The sequence below is a fragment of the Homo sapiens genome, chromosome 15 (genome assembly GCF_000001405.40).
Source record: "Homo sapiens chromosome 15, GRCh38.p14 Primary Assembly".
NCBI classification, from domain to species: Eukaryota; Metazoa; Chordata; class Mammalia; order Primates; family Hominidae; genus Homo; species Homo sapiens.
The window spans coordinates 76,295,872-76,318,943 of NC_000015.10; the positions used below are offsets into that span (position 1 = coordinate 76,295,872).

The window sequence follows — 23,072 nt, forward strand, 5'->3', positions numbered from 1 at the left end:
TATAAAATACTTGTTCTATAGCGAAAATCTAGCTATTTGTGTCTATCACTGTACCACTAATATTCTTTTTTTTTTTTTTTTTTTTTTTGAGATGGAGTCTCGCTCTGTCGCCCAGGCTGGAGTGCAGTGGCGCGTGCGACCATGGCTCACTGCAAGCTCCACCTCCCAGGTTCATGCCATTCTCCCGCCTCCGCCTCCTGAGTAGCTGGAACTACAGGCGCCCACCACCATGTCGGCTAATTTTGTTTTTGTACTTTCAGTAGAGACGGGGTTTCACAGTGTTAGCCAGGATGGTCTCCATCTCCTGACCTCGTGATCTGCCTGCCTCGGCCTCCAAAGTGCTGGGATTACAGGCATGCGCCACCGCACCTGGCCTACTAATATTCTTATCTAATAAAAATTAGAACGCAAATTAGCCTTCTATTGTTAGGAAAAATGTTTAATTACTTCAAAACAACTTTCCCACTAATCTACATCTGATAAGAAACTACTATATAACTAAATGTAAATTCCTTAAACAGAACATATTAACTACCTAACTAGGAACTGGTCAAATTCTACTACCAATTACATTTGGTTACATACTGTACTCCTACAGTATAGGAGTACAGTATAATCACAAATAATGGGTTTGAAATCAGTCACGAAAGTTGATCCCTATTGTTTCAGTCAAAATGCATTCAATACCAAAATAATTGATAATGGAAATATGTTTTTAAAATATGACACTAAACAGCAGTTTTGCCAGGTTTTGACTGTTCAAATATGCTTCTGGATTCAAAAAAGGAAGCTTGCAGACAGTATCTTGGAACCAACCAATATCCAGCCCTATCTAATGCAGACTATCAAGAAACCACCAATCATTCATGGTCATGTGGAATAATTTTAAACACAAGGAACACAAAGATGAACAAGAATGGTCCCTGTATATTTCACAGGAAATTAGACTTGTTCATATACAATTATAAAATAGAACAGTTTTTCAAATAATGAAGAGATCCAAAATGTTGAAGGCTACAGATCATGAAGTACAGTCAAGTGGGGAAGGAAGGAAGTTCAGGTGTTCTATCATGTGAAAAGATGAGGAATGGCACCATAGGCATAAGGAAAAAATAAAATCTTGGAACTATTCTTATGGAAAATGGCAAAGAAAAGTGAGAAAAAGAGGAACTGTGGATCAAATGGCATGGTTACGTGGCTTAATTCAGCAATAACCTTAAGCTCTGGAGCTGGAGTGAAGAAAGCATAGCATGGAATTTACCCAGAGCTGGAAACTTAAAAGGAGGGTATGAATTGAAGGGAAGTCAGGACAGTTCCTGGAATGAAATGAAAGTTCTTAGAAAGCAAATACCATACCTGTTTATATTTTGTATCCCCAGAATCAAATACAATGTTTGTTTTCCAATGTACATCTGCAGAATTAATTATATGGTACCCTTTCTTTTTTCGTTGGAAGAGCATCATATTTTGGAAAGGACTTTGTAATAAATAAATAATTAAATAAAATTAATAAAATAATTAAAAATAAAAAATAATTTAAATTATTTAAATCACATTTCACAAGAATTGCCAGTAACAAGCTATTTATTACCAATATATATCCGGCATCATATTTTTTATTATGTTTCACACATCATTTGCCATAAAAATTATGAGATTTCCATCACCATTTGAAGAAAAAATCCAAGATTTGGTGGCAGAAGGCCCATACTTGCTGTAAATTATAGTTCTATCATAAGATAAATTAAGTAGTTATCCTAAGGAACCATCAAGCTTTTAGAACTTCCAACTGGAGATTATATATACTTTTTAAAAGATTTATCAAAATTAGATTTATAAGCATAAACAACAAAAGAACATATTTAAGAACCCACTCAGTCCATCTAGCTGATCGATTTTTACTAAGCATTATATACATCATAAAGGTACTCTATTTTATTGACTCCTCTATAATTTTTAAAATATTAAACTTCCTTCTAATTCAATGTTTTACATTCCATTTCTCAGATACCACCTAGAGAGAAGCTACAGCCTCTAGGCATGGTTATGCGGCTTAATTCAGCAATAGCGGTTGTGTAGAACCTAGAGCAGAAGAAATTGGCCTGAACTTTTAAAATGTTATTCTACAATCTAAAGCCCATCTGCAAATTTAGGAGGATGAATCAGATTAGAGATTTTTTTTTTTTTTTGAGAGAGAGTCTTGCTCTGTTGCCCAGGCCAGAGTGCAGTGGCGTGCTCTTGACTCACTGCAACCACCGCCTCCAGGGTTCAAGCAATTCTCCTGCCTCAGCCTGCCAGGTAGCTGGGATTACAGGCATGCATTACCACGCCCAGCTAATTTTTGTATTTTTAGTAGAGAGTGGGGTTTCACCATGTTGGCCAGGCTGGCCTTGAACTCCTGACCTCAAATGATCTGCCTGCCTCAGCCTCCCAAAGTGCTGAGATTACAGATTGAGCCATCGCACCTAGCCAAGATTAGAGATTTTCAAACTGCATCTATAGAAGGGTTCTAGGAAGCTATCTCAGGAGCCACCACATGGGATAAGGTAGGGACTAGGCATGTACAGCTGCTAGAATGCCCCCCTACCCAACTTTGCTTTAACCAGATTAACCAAACTAACATTGATGGAGCACTGTGCTAAGCAGTTTTATACATAGTATCCTATTTAAAATTCCTACAAAGTCTATGATGGAGGTACTAGTATTACTCTGACTTCACAGATGAGGAAACTGGAGCTTAGCAGCTACACAGGTAGGAAGCAGAGTCAGGTTATTCTAAGTCCAGGTAGTCTGACTCCACAGTTTGAGTTCCTAATTACCAGCACACATCAAAGCACCACCATTTTTAGCTGTTTTATACATGGGTCATTCCTCTAAGATTGCACTTGGCAAACATTCTTGTGCTTAAAAAAAAAAATAGCATTGTCAGAAAGAAAAATATAATCTCAAAAGACCTCTTTTCCTGCTCTAAAAATTCTATAACTCTAAAATCCTATTTTAAGCAGAAGAGTAGTACAGAATATGACTAAAGAGTAAAAAAATACATGTCCATTATTGAAAACGTTTTAAAGGAAACAAATTTTCATTTTATTATTTTATAACCCATTGCCTCTCTACACTTTAGGATCAATCCTCTTTTAACAATAGTTATGAGAGGAAAAGGAGCCAAATTCTTAAACATTTAAAGATAACTATTGAAATACTTAACGAGGTAATTGCCTCAAAAGGAATCTCGATCTCTTCAAACACTGCTATTTAAATAAAAATTAACTATGCAGGCCTATGCCATCCATAAATTCTTAGTCATCAGCCTTACCTGGGCTCTCAAAACTGTCTAGCAATGCTACCACAACTTCCTTGTTCGCACTCTCACCCTCCACAGCAATGATTTCAAATATCCTCTCCTGATGTTTCTTCTTTTTCTTTTTTGGAAACAAAGTCTCCCTCTATTACCCAGTCTTGAATACAGTGGCACAATCACAGCTCTCTGCAGCTTCAACCTCCCAGGCTCAAGCGTTCCTCCCATCTCAGCCTCCCAAGTCGCTGGGACCACAGGTACACGCCACCATGTCCAGCCAATTATTTATTTTTTGTAGAGGCAGGGTCTTGCTGTGTTGCCTGGGCTGGTCTTGAACTCCTGGGCTCAAACGATCCTCGCACCTTGGCCTCCCAGAGTGCTTGGATTACAGGCATGAGCCACTGTGCCTGCCTCCTGATGTTTCTTAAACTGCCAACACATTCTGCCCCCTACTCTTAGAAGGTAGCCTCACCTCCTACTTCACAATGACAACTAAAGCCATCAAGGGACCTGATTTCCTTTTCTGATACTCAACATAGAAATTCCTGTCCCTGCCCTATTACAATTCCTGTCCTTGCCCTATCACAATGGAAGCTGCTGTGGATCCTTTCTCCTGGGTCTAATCCCTTCATCTGGGATCTAGATTCCATTCTCTCGAATCTACTCAGAGACTGTAATCTACACTTCCCAGTCATGTCTCCAGCTTCTCCCTTTACCCTGGTTCCTTCTCATCAACATTTAAACATGATTGAGGCTCTCCCCATTTGCAACAATCCTGCTAAAAAGCCACAAACCCACATTCAACTCTAGCTTCTCTAATTCCTCATTCTCACTCCCTCCTCAATTACTTGCATCTGGTTTTTGCCCTCACCCAAATTACCAACAAACCCTTTTCAGGCTTTATGTTACTTGTTATCTCAGCAATGTTTAAAGTTACTGACTACTCCCTTCTGCCTTCCATGGCTTAATTTAACCCCTATAGAAGAGTGGCTCAAATATTTTATATATATAAATCTCAAATAGGGTTCAAAGCTCTTTCCTAAGTGCTAGACTTATAATATGGTTACATCTGTATATCTAAGTGCTTAACTTGCCTGTCTCATCAAACACTTTCCATCTCAGCAAATTTAAACTTTAACTCATGTTTTCCCTCTGTTCCTCCAGCCCCTTCCCCATACTGCTACTTCTCCAGACTTCGATCTGCCCCAACCATGACCAGAGAATCATGTCTGGGTTTTCTCTCAACCTTACATCTAACCAACCACTCAAGTCATAACAATTCTTCCTTCTAAAGAGAGCTACTCCTAAATCCATTCACTTCTCTCCATCGTCAATGCCAATATCCTAGTGCAGGCCATTATCCTTCTCCTCTATTACCCCACAGAGTCTCCCAACCCAGCTTGTTTCTAACCTACAATTCTGCTTCCTACCAATCTATTTCTCTCAGTGATCGTTCCATGACACAAATCTAACATGTTATTCTCCCCTGCTTAAAACACTGCTATTGCTTTCTGCCTCCTCTGGATATGGTAAACTAGACTCCTTAGGTTGGTTTATCATGTGTTTATTTTATGGCGTGATCTACCTCCCTAACCATATATCCCTCACTCCATTTATGCCTTATTTTCAGATACTTGAACTTGCCCTGCTCTCTCAGACTTCCAGCCTTCCCACACATTGCTCCCTCTGCCTAGTGGACCTCTTTCCCTGTTACCCTACTAAATTCCAATTAATCATCCTTAGGTTTTCTGCTGAAAGGTCAATTCCTCCAAAAAGCATTAGTACAGTTGCAGTGGTAGAGTACAGGCTTTGGAGCCAGCCACGTTGCCTGGGTTTGAATCCCACCTCCACCATAACGTCTCAGTACCTCAGTTCTCTGACTGTAAAATGGAGATGATGATAATAATATTAATATCTCATAGAGTTGTTGTGAGGGTTAAATTAATAAATGTAAAGCTCTTAGAATGATGCCTGGAACATATTAATCCTCAATAAATGTTAGCTACACATAAAAGCCTTCTTTGGACCGTCTCGGACTAGTTAGCTTTGCTAGCACCAACATGGTACCTTGTAATTGCCTTCATTACAGCACTTATCACACCTGATCATATTCACCTGATTGTCTTCTCGTCCCCCTTTGATACTGAGTACAGGAGCAATGTCTGATATTTCTTACCACTATAACCCTAGACTCCAGTATCCAGCACAGAGCTGACACCAATAAGGGAAGTGAACATTTTTTTTAAAGAACTCTTCGTTGGCCAGTCGCAGTGGCTCACGCCTGTAATCCCAGCAATTTGGGAGGCCGAGGCCGATGGATCACCTGAAGTCAGGAGTTCGAGACCAGCCTGGTCAGTAGAGTGAAACCCCATTTCTCCTAAAAATACGAAAATTAGCTGGGCATGGTGGCACACGCCATAGTCCCAGCTACTCAGGAGGCTAAGGCACAAGAATCACTTGAACCCTGGAGGTGGATGTTTCAGTGAGCCGAGATCACACCACTGCACTCCAGCCTAGGCGAGAGAGACTCCATCTCAAAACAAAACAAAACAAAACAAAACAAACACCTCTTCATCAAAGGAATGAGAACACAAGCCATAGACTGGGACAAAATATGTGCAAAAGACATATCTGATAAAAGACTTATCTAAAAAAAATAAAGAACCCTTAAAAGTCAACATAAAAAATGAACAATCTGATTTAAATAGGGGGAAAGGATCTGAACAGGTACCTCACCAAAGAAGATGGCCAAGAAGCATATGAAAAGATGCTCAACATCAAGATGCTCACTAGGAAATTGCAAATTAAAACGAGATACCACTACACACTTATTAGAATGGTAAAAAACCAAAACACTGACAATACCAAATGCTAGTAAGGATGTGGAACAACAGAAACTCTCATTCATTGCTGGTAAAAATGCAAACTGGTGCAGCCACTTTGGAAGACAGTTTGGCAGTTGCTTATAAAACTAAACATAATCTTACCATACAATCTAGCAACTGCACTCCTTTGTACGTACCCAAATGAGTTGAAAACTTAGGTCCACACAAAAACCAGACGTCTACAGCAGGTTTATTCATAACTGCCAAAACTTGGAAGCAACCAAAATGTCCTTCAGTAAGTGAATAAATATTCATACAATGGAATCTTATTCAGCAGTAACAAGAAATGAGAATGACATGGAGGAACCTTGAATGCATATTACTTAGTGAAAAAAAAAACAGTCTGAAAAGGCTACATGCTGTCTAATCCCAACTATATGACACTCTGTTAAACGCAAAACTATAGAAACAGTAAAAAGATCAGTGACTGCCAGGGATTAGGAGAACAAAGCATAGAGGTTTTTTGTTGTTGTTGTTTTGTTTTTTCCAGGGGGAGTGGGGGCGGGGGCAGTGAAACTATTCTGTATGATATAATAATGGTAGATACCTGTCATTATCCATTTGTCCAAACCCATAGAAGGTACAACACAAAGAGTGAATCCTAATGTAAACTATGGACTCTGGGAAATGCTGATGTCAATGTAAATTCATTAATTGTAACAAATGGACAACTCTGGTGCTGTATGTTGACAGTGGAGGAGGTTGTGGGTGTGTGGACCAGGAAGACTCTCTGTACTTTCCATTGGATTTTGCTGTGAACCTAAAACTGCTCTAAAACATAAAGTCTATTTTCAAAAAATTTTATTTTTAGAGACAGTGTCTTTCTATGTTGCCCAGGCTGGCGTCCAATTCCTGGGCCCAAGGGATCCTCCTGCCTCAGCCTCCTGAGTAGCTAGGACTACAGATGTGTACTACCACACAGGCCAAACTCTACTTAAAAACAAAACAACACAAAACAAAAAAACTTCTGCCAGGTGCAGTGGCTCACACCTGCAATCCCAGCACTTTGAGAGGCCGAGGCGAGTGGATCACCTAAGGTCAGGAGTTCGAGACCAGCCTGGCCAACATGGTGAAACCCTGTTGTCTCTACTAAAAATACAAAAATTAGCTGGGCGTGGTGGCAGGAGTCTGTAATCCCAGCTCTTCCGAAGGCTGCGGCAGGAGAATTGCTTGAACCCAGGAGGCGGAGGTTGCAGTGAGCCAAGATTGCACCCTTGCACTCCAGCCTGGGTGACAAAGCAAGTCTCCATCTCAAAAAACAAACAAACAAAAAATGATTTAAATGTAAGACCTCGAACTATAAAAACCCAAGAAGAAAACATAGGAAATGGCATTTTGAACATAGACCCTGGCAAAGATTTCATGACGAACACTCCAAAAGAAATTGCAACAAAAATAAAAACTTACAAGTGAGACCTAATTAAACTAAAGAGCTTCTGCACAGCAAAATAAACTATCAACAAAGTAAACAGACAACCTACAGAATGGTAAAAAAAAATCTGCAAACTATGCATCTGACAAACGTCTAATAACCAGAATCTATAAGGAACTTAAATCAACAAGCAAAAAACAACCCTATTAAAAAATGGGCAATGGACATCAACAGACACTTCTCATATGTGGCCAACAAGCATATAAAAAAATGCTCAACATTAACTAATCATTAGAGAAATGCAAATAAAAACCACAATGAGACATCTCACACCAGTCAGAATGGCTATTATTTAAAACTCAAAAAACAACAGATGCTGGCAAGGTTGCAGAGAAAAGGAACGCTTATATACTGCTGGTGAGGATGTAAATTAGTTCAGCCACTGCGGAAAGCAATGTGGCGATTTCTCAAAGAACTTAGAACATTCGACCCAGCAATACCATAATTGGGAATATACCCAAAGGAATATGAACCATTCTACCATAAAGATACATGCATGTGCATGTTCATGGCAGCACTATTCACAGTAGCAAAGACATGGAATCAACCTAGATGCCCATGCAAGGGATGGACTGGGTAAAGAAAATGTGGTATATATACACCATGGAATACTACACAGCCATTAAAAAGAATGAGATCATGTCCTTTAGAGCAACATGGACAGTGCTGGAGGCCATTATCCTAAGTGAATTAATGCAGGAACAGAAAAACCAAACATGGAATGTTCTCTCTTGTAAGTGGCAGCCAAACATCAAATACCTATGGATACAAAGAAGGGAACAATAGATACCTGGGCCTATTTGAGGGTGGAGGGTGGGAGCAGGGTGAGAATCAAAAAATTACCTATTGGATGCTATGTTCATTACCTGGGCGGCAAAATAATCTGTACATCAAACCCCCAGGACACACGGTTTACTCATAATAAATCTGCACAGATACCCTGCAAACCTAAAATTGGCCCAGGAGTTTAAGACCAGCCTGGACAATACAGTAAGACCCTGTTTCTATGAAAGATAAAAATTAAAAAATTAGTCAGATGTGGTGGCGCATTCCCGTAGCCCCAGCTACTTGGAAGGCTGAGATGGAAGGATCATTTAAGCCTAGAAGGTTGAGGCTGCAGCGAGTCAAGATCACACCACTGCACTCCAGCCTGGGTGAGAGTAAGACTCTATTTCAAAAAAAAAAAAAAAAAATTGGGGGAAAAAATACAGCAATGATAAATGATTTTAGACAAAACTAAAAAATGAAGTGATGTTTTTATCTAAAGAAAATCCTCGGCCAGGAGCGGTGGCTCACACCTGTAATCCCAGCACTTTGGGAGGCCGAGGCGGGCAGATCACAAGGTCAGGAGAGCGAGACCATCCTGGCTAACATGGTGAAACCCCGTCTCTACTAAAAATACAAAAATTAGCCGGGCGTGGTGGCGGGCACCTGTAGTCCCAGCTACTTGGGAGGCTGAGGCAGATGAATGGCGTGAACCCAGGCAGCAGAGGCTGCAGTGAGTCGAGATGGCGCCACTGCACTCCAGCCTGGGCAACAGTGAGACTCTGTCTCAAAAAAAAAAAAGAAAGAAAGAAAGAAAGAAAATCCTCCGCTCTATTACTTTATCACTCAGTAACAATAGTTTAAGGCACCTCAGTGTGCAAACATAATTTCACAGATATCCTTTCAGTGTTTTCCAGTCCTCTAACAAGATTAAACCTCTCCCAAACACCCTCTATGTTCTGTAACAATGACCACACTTAAAATAATGTGTTTCTTCCTTAATCTGTTTGCATCACAAGGGCAGGGACTAGGTCTGTCTTGTTCTCCACTGTGAACTTGGTATCTACCTCTCTGGCACACAGTTGGCACTCAATGAATAGTAACTAAATGAAAACTTTTCTTAAAATTATCAAAAACTAAAAAGCAACTGTTTCCTCATTGATAATGTAATCAACTAAACATGTATAAGGGTAACTAAACAGTACATAAACTGTTACATCACTAAAACAGACACACCATCATGCTTTTAGAGAAGTTCTCTATACTCTGTTTAGACTTGGTTGCAAATAGCAAAATATGAAGTTTTCTTTCTCATGCCAGCCACATACCCATATAAAGTTGACTGGCCTTTATAAGATAGTATACTTCTTGTGGGCAGGATTTAAAGAGGTTATCACCCTCTCTGCACCCTTTCAAAGCTAAATTTCTTGAAAATAATTTCCACAGACACCAACTCTTATTACCTCACCTTCCATTTTTTCAGTTACTCATGCAAACTGGCTTTCACCTTCACAACACTGAATCCAATCTTTCCAAAGTCACCAAAAACTTCATTATGGCTAAGTCCAATGAACACATTTTGGTCCTTCTCTTTTTCAACCTCAATAGTTGTTTTTTTTTTTTTCTTGTGGGGGTGGGTATTTGTTTGAGACTGGGTCTTGCTTGCTATGTTGCTCAGGCTGGTCTCCTGGACTCAAGTGATCCTCCTGCCTCAGCCACATGAGTAGCTGTGACTACAGGCACATGACACTGTGCCCAGCATCAGCCTCATTTTTGACATTGTTTTTGCTTGTCAGTTTTTTAGAGTTCTTGCTGTGACTTGAACTGTATATTCACATAGTAAAGTACCACAGATGGTAGAAGAAGAAAAAAAGCTGGAATCTAACTCTCTACCCTTACAAACCCACTCATAACCTAAAGTAGTAAGAATGATTGTAACCTATACCTCCACCCCAACCATCTTTGGAAACTAGGTGTAATGAGGGTATAGAGGGCAGGGGAGGGTTTTTTTGCTTCTTTTTTTTTTTTTTTTTGAGACAGAGTCTCGCTCAGTCGCCCAGACTGCAGTGCAGTGGCGCGATCTCAGCTCACTCCAACCTCCGCCTCCTGGGTTCAAGCAATTCTCCTGCCTCAGCCTCCTAAGTAGCTGGGATTACAGGCACGCACCACCACACCCAGCTAATTTTTGTATTTTTAGTAGAGACGGGTTTCACCATGTTGGTCAGGCTAATCTCAAACTCCTGACCTCGTGATCCACCCACCTCAGCCTCCCAAAGTGCTGGGATTACAGACATGAGCCACTGCACCCAGCCGGTTTTTTTGCTTCTTAATTAAAAAAAGAAAAACAGCAAGAATAAGCTATAAAATCTTTCTGAGTCATACCCAAAAGGATAATATATAAAGTCACCTATCCCTATTTTAACATACATTTTGTAATTTTTAAAATGTATATTTCTGTACTTTAAATACTTCCTTTAATCCTTTTAGTAATAAAATATAGCAGCTTTTAATCATGACCAGAAATGTTATATGACATTGACTGTAATACTAAAAACACAGTCAATTTACTTCACTTTAAGAAAGGACAAGACTCTTAGTAGACACATTGGCAGGCATCATAATTTTACTGAATTCACCTTATGCAATAAATTTTCTTTTAGAATCACACCAAAATTGGCTCTCTTTCTTCTTTCAATAGAAATTAAAATTTGCATGCAAATTACAGAGTTCAATCTTATTCATCAATACTAGACAGAAAAGTGTCATGTTCCTTCACACCAGTTTCATAGCTTCTCAGTCCTGATAGATATTCCTTCCCACCTGACAATAAACACAGTAAAAAGAGTACTCAAATGACCTTGAAATTGTTGTTTCACTCACCACATAAATATTTTTCTGCATCTTCTTATTCTTCAATAAATCAATTTCAAGAGCAAATTAATAAATAACAATAATTAGGATTAATATCCCTGCAAGAATATTAACTAACTGCAAATGCCTACCTATTTGCCTCTTGGTGTGTTCTCTAGCTCTTTATTATAGATATAAAAACTATCTTTGTTAACAGATGACTTTAAAGACCATTGCCACACACATAAGGATGAAAGACTTTACTCAATGGCACAAATCAGTCAGAACTAAAAATGGAACTTAGATACCAAATGCAAGTCATTGAACTTATATCCTAATAGTTTAACAAAGTGGTTTAAAAGAATACATAAAATTTACCATCTTAACCTTTTTTTTTTTTTTTGAAACAGCGTCTCACTCTGTTGCCCAGGCCGGAGGGCAGTGGTGCTACCTGGGCTCAATGCAGCCTCAAATGCCCAGGTTCAAGCAAGTCTCGTGCCTCAGCCTCCCAAGTAGCTGGGACTACAGGTGTGAACCATGGCGCCTGGCTAATTTTTTTTTTGGTAGAGATGGGGTTTCGCCATGTTGCGCAGGCTGGTCTCGAACTCCTGAGCTCAGGTGATCCATCTGCCTCAGCCTCCCAAAGTGCTGGGATTACAGGTGTCAGCCACCATGGTTGGCCCCATCTTAACCATTTTTAAGTGTTAAGTGTTAACTATATGCACATCGTTAACAGTTTATGGTAATCTTTTAACTGTAATTCCTAACTTTATTTTTTTAAATATGGTTTTGGAAATGTATCCTCTTCCTAAATGCATTAATGGTTAGCTACAGAACATTTTTTTTTTAATTTCAAGAGTGGGGACTTGAGATAAGCTATTTTGACTTTGTGATATCACAAACATATATATGTAAACAAACAGGAGTCAGATTGAATGGGCCCCACTTTACAAACATGAGACAACTTCAGCATAAGGTAGAAATGTATTATCCTAAATAAGGATCCATGTATCCATAAATCCATAAATATGCAAGAAGATAATGTTCTTCCTTATAGTAGAATAACTAAAAAATGTACGAAGGTATCATGGAAATAGAAAATCACCATTTTGCATCATAGTAATCATTTCTCAGGCAAAAATCATCAACAGATGCTAAGACTGGGTAAAAGTCTGATGAGAAATAGGACAGTCACATAGTCTCAATGAATCGCCTCACAAATTAGTTAAAAATTACAAAAGGAGGAGTATTAACTTGACAGTGGAGAAACCTGGCAAACAACACTTTGGCTAAGTAACTAAAGTCAGCATTACCACTAATGGGATAAACCAACATTAAGTACCTGCTAATATGATGCACGGGGAACACAATACCACTTTTGTGATATTCCCACCAAGAATACATGACCTGAATCTAATCATGAGGAAACACCAGACAAACCCAAATTGAGTGACAGTCTGGAAAATAGAAGGCCTGTACTCTTCAAATACACCAATGTCATCAAACCCAAAGGAAGGCTGAGGAACCTTTCTAACAGAGTAAAGAGACATGAAAACCACTTGCAGGACATCTAGAGTATCTTAGACCAGAATAAGGAAAATTGCTATAAACTGTACTAATGGGACAACTGGCAAAATTGAACATCCATAGATTAGAAAACAGTATTTTATGGTGAAACTTCCAGATATTGCCAATTACAGTGTAGTTAGAAAGTGAACCTCTTTGTTCTTTTAAAATATCACTCAATTATTTAGGAGTAAAGGGCACATTTGCAACATACTTTCAAATGGTTCAGAAAGATAGTATTATGTATATATGTGGAAAGATAAAGCAAATGTGTCAAACTGCTAACATGCTGGGAAAACCAGGGGAAGGGTTTTGAGATTTCTTTGTACTATTCTTGCAACTTTTCTATAAGTGCAACTATTTCAAAATTTAAAAAGTTAAATACAGGTATATGTCCCTATTAATATATGGGTCCACTTTAGAAGTGTTGCCACCATTTCTTTTATGCTAGAAATCCAAATCTCTCCAACATTCTTAATGACTTTAAAACAGCTATTCTAGGCTGGGCGCGGTGGCTCACGCCTGTAATCCCAGCACTTTGGGAGGCCAAGGCGGGCGGATCATGAGGTCAGGAGATCGAGACCATACCGGCTAACACAGTGAAACCCCCGTCTCTACTAAAAATACAAAAAAATTAGCGGGGCGTGGTGGCGGGTACCTGTAGTCCCAGCTACTCAGGAGGCTGAGGCAGGAGAATGGCGTGAACCCGGGAGGCGGAGCTTGCAGTGAGCTGAGATCGCGCCACTGCACTCCAGCCTGGGCGACAGAGCGAGACTCCGTCTCAAAACAAACAAACAAACAAACAAAAAAAACAGCTATTCTACTTAGCTTGACTTCAAATTTTAAAAATAAGTCAAGGTCAAAGTCTTTGGCAAACCACAATGAATATCTGGAAGTAATGTCTATACACATTAGCCAACGATGTGGATAGTAAAAATTACTTAATCATTCCATTTTTTTCTGTTAGCTCTACAAAATTACTGAGTCCTAAATTCCATCCCCCACCACAATTATAATTTCACTTAGGCCAGACTTGTAATCTGTCCACAAAACTGTTTTCCAACTGCTGCATAGAGCAGCATTCTTCTGGCTCAGGTTCCTGGAATTTCCCCAAATTCATGATTTTCACTTGTTTATGTCTAGATCCCCAACCGGGAGAAAACATGTCCTGAGGGGAAGACAGGACACTAACCTGAAAGACATGGGTTTGAACTCTTTAGGGGAGGGGAGGGTCAGAACTTTTTATTAAACAAGGAATACGCACAAGAAAAAAGATGTCTAAGGCCAGGTGCGGTAGCTCAGGCCTGTAATTCCAGGACTTTGGGAGGCCGAGGCAGGTGGATCACTTGAGGACAAGAGTTCGAGACCAGCCTGGGTAACATGGGGAAACCCCGTCTCTACAAAAAAAAAAAAAAAAAAAAAAAAAAAATTAGCCAGGCGTGATGATGCGCACCTGTGATCCCAGCTTCTCGGGAAGCTGAGGTGGGAGAATCGCTTGAACCTGGGAGGCGACGGTTGCAGTGAGCCCATATCGTGCCACTGCACTCCACTCCAGCATGGGAAACAGAGCCAGACCTTGTCTCTTAAACAAACAAACAAACAAACAAACAAAAGTCTAATGTCTACAGACATCTAGAAAGAGCTCCAGCTATGCCTCAGAGAGAAAAATCCCAGGAGTGGATGGGAAAATATCCATGCCCAGAAAAAAAAAAAAAAAAAAAAAAAGGAGAAAAGGTACAAACCATCAGGTAAGTTTCTGACCCAAGTTTACCAATCTTGTTTCTCATTTCACCTAAATGTAAACTAGGAAAACTACACAATCCACAATATAAATTATTGTTACTTGACTTGTGACTGGTCAGTCTCCAAATACTCCTTTCCCACAGCATGAGAAGGAAAATATGTTTCCTATCAGTCCTTCTCACAACAGAAGAGAGAAATGTGGTTTGTCACTAATGAAACACTGAAAATGTACCACTGTCACCAGTTAACCTAATCTACAATCTGCTGGTTAAAAGCAGGTCAGCCTGAAGCATATAAAAAGACGTCTGCCTTTCAAAACTGGCTAAAGCTGTCAAATCGGATCGCAGGTTTTACAAATACAATCACCTAAATTCAGCCCTGCTCCATAAACCAGAAAGCAGAACCAGCTTCCATAACTGGCCACGCAGCCTCCCACCCCACCCCACCCCCGCCCTTGACAGTGAGTGGGTCGGAGTAGCCACGATGCGCCCAAAGTGTTTAATTCTTCCAGAAATGCCGGCCTCCGGGAGGAATCTAGGTTTGAAACTTTCCCCAACAGGGCATTCCCCGGTGACATTTTGCTCCCTCGGGTGTGGAGCAAGTGTGGAGGACCTGGCGGCCCGAAAGTGCCCAGAGTGACCGACAAAGGTGGGAAACGGCAGGGCAGAGAGTGGGCCAGAAGAAGGGGCAGCAGACGCGCAAATTCACATCATTCGGGGTCACCCTGACCCCAAACCTCTGACTTCTGCCCCGAACTGGCGTTCCGCAGGGAGTCCAGGGTAGGCCCCAGAACTTTGGACCCAAGTCCCAGGCGGGGACCGGCCTGCGGGCGCGAGGGCTGGTCGAATCTGAGGGGGCCAGTGATCTTTGCAAGACCCCATAGGGACGGCGGGTTGACGGGGGGCCGTCCCTGGGTTCGCCTTCCCAGTCCGGACTCACCGCCCGCCGGAGCTGCCCCGGAGCCGCCGCTCGGAACATGGTCTCCGCTTCCGCCGCAACCTCGGCCTTACAGCAGCCCCGTGCCCGGCCAACTGGCGCCGCCTCAGCCAGTCACCTAATGCTCGCGAGACGCGCGAACGAGATAAGACGCCCTAGGCCGGGAGCACGAGCCCGCGGTTTCCGCCTGCCCATTGGGCGGCTGCGCAGCCAATAGACGGCGGGAAGTTAGGGGCTAGACTGGGAAGTGGGGCAAAGGTGAGGCTATTCCCCGGGGACCTTCGAGTAAGCCCGGGCCGCGGAGCGGCAGAGACAAAGCTGGCCACCCGCTGATGACCGAGCTCAGACTGTACTGTCTCACAGCCCCGCAATGGTCAGCACTGCTAGAGTGAACTTCAAAACTGAGCTGACCTCGGGGTAAGGTACGAGTGGAGCCTTGCCAATTCCAATTAGATACCTTTCCTATATGCCCCTATTTCCCCCTGTATTTCCCCATGGTAGCAATTGTCACATGGGTTGTAATAACCTAAGTACTTGTCTGTGTCACCCATCTGACTGAAGATCTGTAAGGGCAGAAAGTATGCCCTTTTTTTTTTTTTTTTTTTTGAGAGAGAGAGAGTCTCCCTCTGTCACCCTGGCTGGAGTGCAGTGGCGCGAGCTCAGCTCACTGAAAGCTCCGCCTCCCGGGTTCACTCCATTCTTCTGCCTCAGCCTCCCGAGTAGCTGGGACTACAGGCGCCCGCCACCACGCCCAGCTAATTTTTTTGTATTTTTAGTAGAGACGGGGTTTCACAGTGTTAGGCAGGATGGTCTCGATCTCCTGACCTCGTGATCCGCCCGCCTCGGACTCCCAAAGTGCTGGGATTACAGGCGTGAGCCACCGCGCCCGGCCAGTATGCCCTACTTTTAAATTTTGTGTCTACCTGCAACACCTAGCACAATGCCTGGTCCATACTAGGCATTCAATCAGTATGTGTTGAATGAATAAGCAAATGAATAAATGACTGCTAATGAGTCTGGACTTTAACACGAAATTTTTAAGAGGGAAGTGGTATGTTCAGAAATTGTCTCAATTCCCAATTCAGCAACAACCTACCTTTCCAATGTTATCTAGTCTATCAACAAATCCCGTTGACTCTACCTTCAAAAGATAACCAGAATCCAGCAATATCCTCCAACACCCCTTTGCTCCTCTGCTGGTATCACCTTCACTCAGGACCCTGTCCTCTCTCGCCTGGATCATTGCAAAGCCTCCTAACTGGTCTTTCTGTTTCTGCCCATGTTTCCAGAAGCCTCTTCTCCAAACTGATGGACTGATCATGACCTCTGCTCAAAGCCCTATGGTGGCTCCCTCTCCTCCCACTGCCCTCTTCTCTCACTGTTCCCCAGATACATAGGCCTTCTTGAGCACACAAGCCTGCTCCTCTCAGAGTTTTGCACTCTGGCTCTTCCCTCTGCCTGAAATGGCCTTCTCTTGTTACCCGCGTGGCGTACTTCCTCACTTCATTCAGGTCTCTGCTCAAAAAACACATTTGCAGAAAGGCCGGCCTTAGCCTCTCCACCTAAAATAGCACCCATGCCACTCCCAGACGCCCTATCACCTTGTTTGATTTTTTTTCTTGGCATTTATCACTGCCTAACAGGATGCACATGTTTGTTTATTGCTGATCTCACTGCATTGGAGTGTAAATTCCCTGAAGCAAGAGCTTTGTCTGAACTAACAAGCACTCTAAGGGCCTTGCGCTTTTGCTCTTCCCTCTGTCTGAAATTCCCTTCCCCATCTGACAGCCCTCTTTAAAACCCAGATCAAGTGACAATTCTTTTGTTCTGTTTAAGACAAGGTCTCACTCTGTTTCCCAGGCTGGAGTGCGGTGGTGCCATCACAGCTCACTGCAGTCTCGAACTCCTGGGATCAAGCAATCTTCCTGCCTCAGCCTCCCAAGTAGCTGGGACTACAGTCATGTGCCACCATGCCCAGCTATTTTTTTTTGTAGGGGCAGGGTTACCCAGGGCTGGTCTCGAACTCCTGGCCTCAAGTGATCTTCCCACCTTGGCCTCTCAAAGTACTGGGATTACAGACATGAGCCACCACGCCTGGCCCAAGTGACATTTCTTTTGTAAGCTCTTTCTCAATTCTGCAGGATGAATTAATCCTTTCCTCTTCTTCACTCTTGTAGCTCTATGAACAAGGAGGTGAGGACCCATCTTAAACTTAAGTTGCACCCACTTCGAACACGTCTGAACTCATGTTGCCGACAGAGCTGTGGACCCCTGTCCCCCAGTCAATCTGCCTGTGGGAGGGGCAATTTAGTATTCCATGTCTCACTGCATTTACCTCCTAACCAGTCCCACACTGGACTAGAATCTGAGACCTATGGGAGTGGAAGGAAGAGGGAAGGGTACTTTTAGTAAAAACAGAAAAGGATATTTTACTAAAAACCATATAAAAAACTGGGATACAAACTAACCTCCTTCCCTACCTCCCCACCCATGACAAAGCGAAATACAAGGGGAGAGCGGCTGCCCCGCCCTGCCCCCACTGGGCAGATTCAACAGCTCCCAGGCTTGGGCAAATCAGCAGCAGCTGTTCACCCCAGAGTCTCGTTGCCCCTGGGGGTTCCTGGTGGAGCAGTTCAGAGCAGAGGGAGAGGCTAAAAATGGGCAAAGTCTGTGACACCTGACCAGACCTGTTCTGATCACACATGAAACGCCCCCTGAGGCTTTGGGATGTATCAGGGTTCTACAATCACAACCAGGTTATGTACCACAGAAATGTGTGTGCTAAGACATTTCTATTAGAAGATTTTCCCTAGAGGCATATGACTTTCCCACTCCATTAGGAGCCGCTTTGGTGGCAGGACCTATGGTTTCCTTTTATTTACTTATTTTTATTTTATTTATTTTGGAGACGGAGTCTCACTCTGTCACCCAGGCTGGAGTGCAGTGGCGCGATCTCGGCTCACTGCAACCTCCACCTCCCCTCAGTTTCAATGGATTCTCTTGCCTTAGGCTCCCAAGTAGCTGGAATTACAGGTGCCCACCACCATGCCCAGCTAATTTTTGTATTTTTAGTAGAGATGGGGTTTCACCATGTTGGTCAGGCTGGTCTCAAAGCCCTGACCTCAGGTGATCTGCCTGCCGTGGCCTCCCAAAGTGCTGGGATTACAGGCGTGAGCCACCGTGTCCAGCCTATTTATTTGCTTCTTATTTTTAGATGTTCAGCAAACATTTGTAGAAATATGTGTCCAATGGGCTAGGTGCAATGGCTCACACCTGTAATCCTAGCAATTTGGGAGGCCGAGGCGGGCGGATCACTTGAGGTCAGGAGTTCAAGACCAGCCTGGTCAACATGGCGAGACCCTCCCCCCACCTTCACTACTAAAAATACAAAAATTAGCCGGGTGTGGTAGCATGTTCTTATAATACCACCTACCCCTGCAGCTAAGGCATGAGAATCACTTGAACCTGGGAGGCAGAGGTTGCAGTGAGCCAAGATTACACCACTGTACTCCAGCCCGGATGACAGAGCAAGACTCCATCTCAAACAAAAAAAAAAAAAAAAAAAAGAAAGAAAGTAAATATTTGTCCAAAGAAGAAAGGGCAGAAAAGAGAGGGTGGAGGAAGGAGGATTCAAGGACTACCACAGTCAACCCTTGAAGATGACTCCAGCATATTTGGAGCAACACCTCTTTCTTCTCCACAGGCCAATTTCAGGAGCAGCTCCTCCAGGATTCCTGCTGGAAACTTAGAAGAGAAAGGTCCCTGGGACCAACTACAGCCCTAGCTGCTGCAACTTTCTGGGGGTCACAATGGTACTTATCGTCTCCTTCCTCAGTATCCATTCTAAATCTCCCCCTCCCTCAGCTAGCACCTCCCCTGGTTTGAGTGGCTAATGCCTCCATCCTGCCTCGTGGACTGAAGATCTCAACCCCTGACCAGCATGCCCTTCCCAAGCCTGTTTATTGTCATAATTGGGCAATGGAGGACTCAGAGGCACCCAAGTAGGTTACTCTTAGCCAAGATGACTCCCCTTCTGGTCTTCTGGTCCCTGCATACAAGGTGCCCAGGTGGCAGCTGTAGCTTATAGCTCAGAGGACCCTTGCTGTGTCCTCTGGTGAAAGATTCCCCTTTGGGGACAAAGACCTCTAACCCTGCAGGTCCCAGCACTATATAAAGGTCTTTGGTTCAAGGAGTATCCTAGAAGATGAACCCCACCCTTATCAAGTGCTGTCTCCAAGCTGCTGCTTCCAGTGGGCCTTCAGCAGCCATTCCGATATCCTGTCAGGCTGGCAGTGTCTGGATGATCCAGCCTGTGAATCGCTTAGGGAATCCTCTGATCACGGACTCATTTCTGCACCTCCATTGCAGTAAATTGGGTCCCTGGCCTGATGGATGTTATGTGGGATCCTGTGACAGTGAATCAGATACTCGATAAGCCCTCAAATAGTGGTGCTGACTAAGGTCCTGAGAACAGGAAAGGTAAACAGTACCCAGAATATATGCGTTTTCTTGACATGGTGAATCTCGACTTTTTCCAGATGAAAGGGGTTCCATGTGGTTAGGATGAATCTTGCCTTTTCCAAGATAGAAGGGGTTCCATGTTGTCAACTTGCACCGTGGAGCCAGCTGGTCTTCTGGAGGAATGGTGCCATATTGGGGGCTCATTCAGCAGTGGCAGTAGCTCAATCAGGCTTCGTAAGTGGGAGCCCATGCTATTAGGCTCCTGCTGCCTCTGTCTCTGCCACTGTAGTCATTTCATGCATGTGCCCTTAGTACCAGCACTAGGTGGCTGATGACAGAGGCCGACTAAGGTCAACTGGCCCAGATATTTTTGTCCTCTTAGTTACATGGTGGCTTTTCAATGGTGGATGGTTTCTGGTGGGTGTTAACATGTAATACAAACATCTTCATACTTGGTGCCCACTCCAGACACCTATCCTCATGCCCCTACCCCAGACCTCCCTGTCCCCCATCTTCCATTCCAACCTTTCTTCTTCCGGGGCCCTGGCTAGCCAGGTAGGCCATTCCTCACTGCCACTGAGTACATAGATATTCTGTGCTTGAGATGCCTCTCTGTGCAGGAAGAGTGGATGGCCAAGTGCACCTCCTGAAGCTCTGCCCATGGAGATTTTTCTTCACCATTGTCTTTCAAGGCTGTCCCTAAGTGGGGCTATAGTGCAACTGCCATCTATTTTCAGCTTGAACTCACATACTGAGCAGACCCTCCATTGACCAAGTATAGGATTTTTCCTCCTCTTGTCAGCTGGTCATAAAGGATCCTACCTACAACCAGAAGGGTGCACCAGGGGAGGTGTGTTGAGGTAGTAGTGGTGTTCATGGGGGTCTAGGCTGCCAGCTCGTGGAACTTGCTTGTACCTTCTGGTCTTACTTATTTTAAGTCCCAGATGTACCAGTTCCATCCTAGGATGCATTGTTACTGACTGCCTGGTATTGTGACTCGGTGGGTTTGGCAGAACCCAGCTCATGATGGGTAATTCCTGGCATATGGTCACTTGGTGTCTATGATCAGGTCAGTAGCACACCAGGAGTTTTTCTCAAAAGGCACATAAGTCTCCACTGCAGATGGCATGGCCTTGCTCCAATACTGCAGGGGCCTGTGTTGTCATTCTCCCAGTAGAGCTCGTCATCAACTCCACACAGCATCTTTTCCTACCACTAACACTAACACCGTCTATGGAAGCACAAATGACCAAGTAGCAGACTGCCTGGACCTGCTGTATAACCTTTTTATGCTCTGAGCTCCAGTTAATGCTGGGAGCCTTTTATGTCACCTGCACTGATGGCATGGGTTGGAGCAGTATTTCCAGATGTGGAATATACTGTGTCCAGAACCCAAAGAGGCCTATCAGGCCTTAACACTTCTTTCTACATGGTGGGAGGTGCAAGATGCAATAATTTATCTTTTTCTTTGGATGAGATATCCTGGAATGCCCTAACTCTGGACCCCTAAACATCTTATGTGGGAGACCCCTGAATCTTTGCAGGATTTATCTCCTACCCTCTAGAATGTGGTCGCTTGGTGTCTATGATCAGGCCAGTAGCACACCAGAATTTTTTCCCAAAAGGCACGTAAGTCTCCGCTGCAGATGGCATGGCCTTGCTCCAGTACTGCAGGGGCCTGTGTTGTCATTCTCCAAGGCCTCTAATGTGCTATCCACTTTTTTCCACCCAGCTGAATCAATGTAATGTCATTGATGTAAAAGATCAATGCGATGTTCTACAGTATGTCCAGATGGTCCAGACCTCTTCAGGCTGTATTGTGATTGATAGATGCTGAAAGTTAACATAGCCCTGGGGCAAAACTGTGATTGTAGACTGTTGTTTGTTCCATGTGAATGCATACTGTTTCTGATCCACTTTTCTCCTAGGGCTAGAAGAGAACCAATTCACCAAATCAATGTCCACATAAAATGTACCTGGGGCTGTGTTAATCTGCTCTAGCAAAGATACCAAAACTGGTGTGGTGGCGGCAATAGGGCTACTACTTCTGTGGGTTTGTGATAGTCTACTGTCATCTTCCAGGTTCCGTCTGGTTCCTGGAGGGACAATACTAGTGAGATAAAGAGGAATAATGATCCTTGAAGGTTAGAACCTTGAAGTTTGCCTCATTGTGTGCTGTCAAGGAGGTCCTCTAGCTTTTATACATGGTTCTCAATTGCCTGTTAATCATTCCTACTCCTTTGTAATTTTTTATCAAGGGCATGGAGCTTAGCAATTGCCACCCAATGTCATTGTCTTTACTATTTCCCCCATATTCCCTTCCACAAGCATCCCATCCCAATTTGCCACTAGTGCAAGTCTTAAGAATTGGATATCACCTTATGCCAAAGGCTTGTTCCAGCTACCAGCAGGGTTTGGGTCCTCAGTGCCAGTCTGGTAAAAAGTAATGCAGCTCCAAACCCCCATCTTACCACCTGTTTTCTCAACCACTCCCACACTCCTGCTTTCTCTTGGATGCAAGATCGAGACAAGTTCAGAATACATCATGATAGATAGGGGGTGCCCTTAGGAGCCACACCTGTGTGAGGGATGAGACAGCGGAACTGGGCAGAAGCAGTAGCTGGGCTGATATGCAGGCCTGAACAATAATCCAGTGGAATGTGAATTATTCTGTTTTTAATTGTGTTTTTTAATGCAATAACAGTATAGCTATGCTAAAAGAATATGATATTTGTTGACAGACTAAGCACTCACCACAGTATTTCCAGCTCACAGGAAAACAACCATCCAAAAAACTTAGAAAATTTAAAATGGAATATATGTTCTTTTTGTTTTTTTGAGACAGAGTCTCGCTCTGTCACCCAGGCTGGAGTGCAGTAGCATGATCTCGGCTCACTGCAACCACTGCCTCCCAGGTTCAAGCAATTCTCATGCCTCAGCCCCCTGAGTAGCTGGGATTGCAGGTGCATGCCAACATACCCAGCTAATTTTTTGTATTTTTACTAGAGACGGGGTTTCACCCTGTGACCTCAAGTGATCCACCCACCTCGGCCTCCCAAAGTGCTAGTATTACAGGTGTGAGTGACTGCCACCAGCCAAAATGCAACATATATTCTTATGTGATGTATTTAGACTA

General features: G+C 43.2%; 1 protein-coding gene across 3 annotated transcripts in view, besides 5 other annotated features; it reads right to left on the bottom strand.

Annotated features, from left to right (window-relative positions):
* ETFA (electron transfer flavoprotein subunit alpha) overlaps positions 1–15,598 on the bottom strand; it is a 96,117-nt gene extending 80,519 nt beyond the window's left edge. For all 3 annotated transcript variants that reach the window (XR_007064434.1, NM_001127716.2, NM_000126.4), the window contains exon 1: positions 15,479–15,598. Coding sequence is in view for 2 of the 3 variants with exons in the window: in NM_001127716.2 (NP_001121188.1) it covers positions 15,479–15,517 (39 nt within the window). In the remaining variant the exon portion in view is untranslated. The remainder of the gene's footprint in view (positions 1–15,478) is intronic.
* Positions 14,850–15,350: an enhancer, noted in NCBI's record as "H3K27ac hESC enhancer chr15:76603062-76603562 (GRCh37/hg19 assembly coordinates)". NCBI's record gives its function as "activates a minimal SCP1, AML or CMV promoter by ChIP-STARR-seq in primed H9 embryonic stem cells {active_cell/tissue: H9 hESC(primed)}" and the evidence as "EXISTENCE:reporter gene assay evidence [ECO:0000049][PMID:30033119]".
* Positions 15,351–15,851: an enhancer, noted in NCBI's record as "H3K27ac hESC enhancer chr15:76603563-76604063 (GRCh37/hg19 assembly coordinates)". NCBI's record gives its function as "activates a minimal SCP1, AML or CMV promoter by ChIP-STARR-seq in naive H9 embryonic stem cells {active_cell/tissue: H9 hESC(naive)}" and the evidence as "EXISTENCE:reporter gene assay evidence [ECO:0000049][PMID:30033119]".
* Positions 16,061–16,110: an enhancer, noted in NCBI's record as "active region_9877". NCBI's record gives its function as "activates an Ori minimal core promoter by ATAC-STARR-seq in GM12878 lymphoblastoid cells {active_cell/tissue: GM12878}" and the evidence as "EXISTENCE:reporter gene assay evidence [ECO:0000049][PMID:35858748]".
* Positions 16,171–16,220: an enhancer, noted in NCBI's record as "active region_9878". NCBI's record gives its function as "activates an Ori minimal core promoter by ATAC-STARR-seq in GM12878 lymphoblastoid cells {active_cell/tissue: GM12878}" and the evidence as "EXISTENCE:reporter gene assay evidence [ECO:0000049][PMID:35858748]".
* Positions 17,782–18,203: a transcriptional cis regulatory region, noted in NCBI's record as "candidate enhancer chr15.2471 targeted for multiplex CRISPR interference". NCBI's record gives its function as "positively regulates ETFA gene expression in K562 cells {active_cell/tissue: K562}" and the evidence as "EXISTENCE:mutant phenotype evidence [ECO:0000015][PMID:30612741]".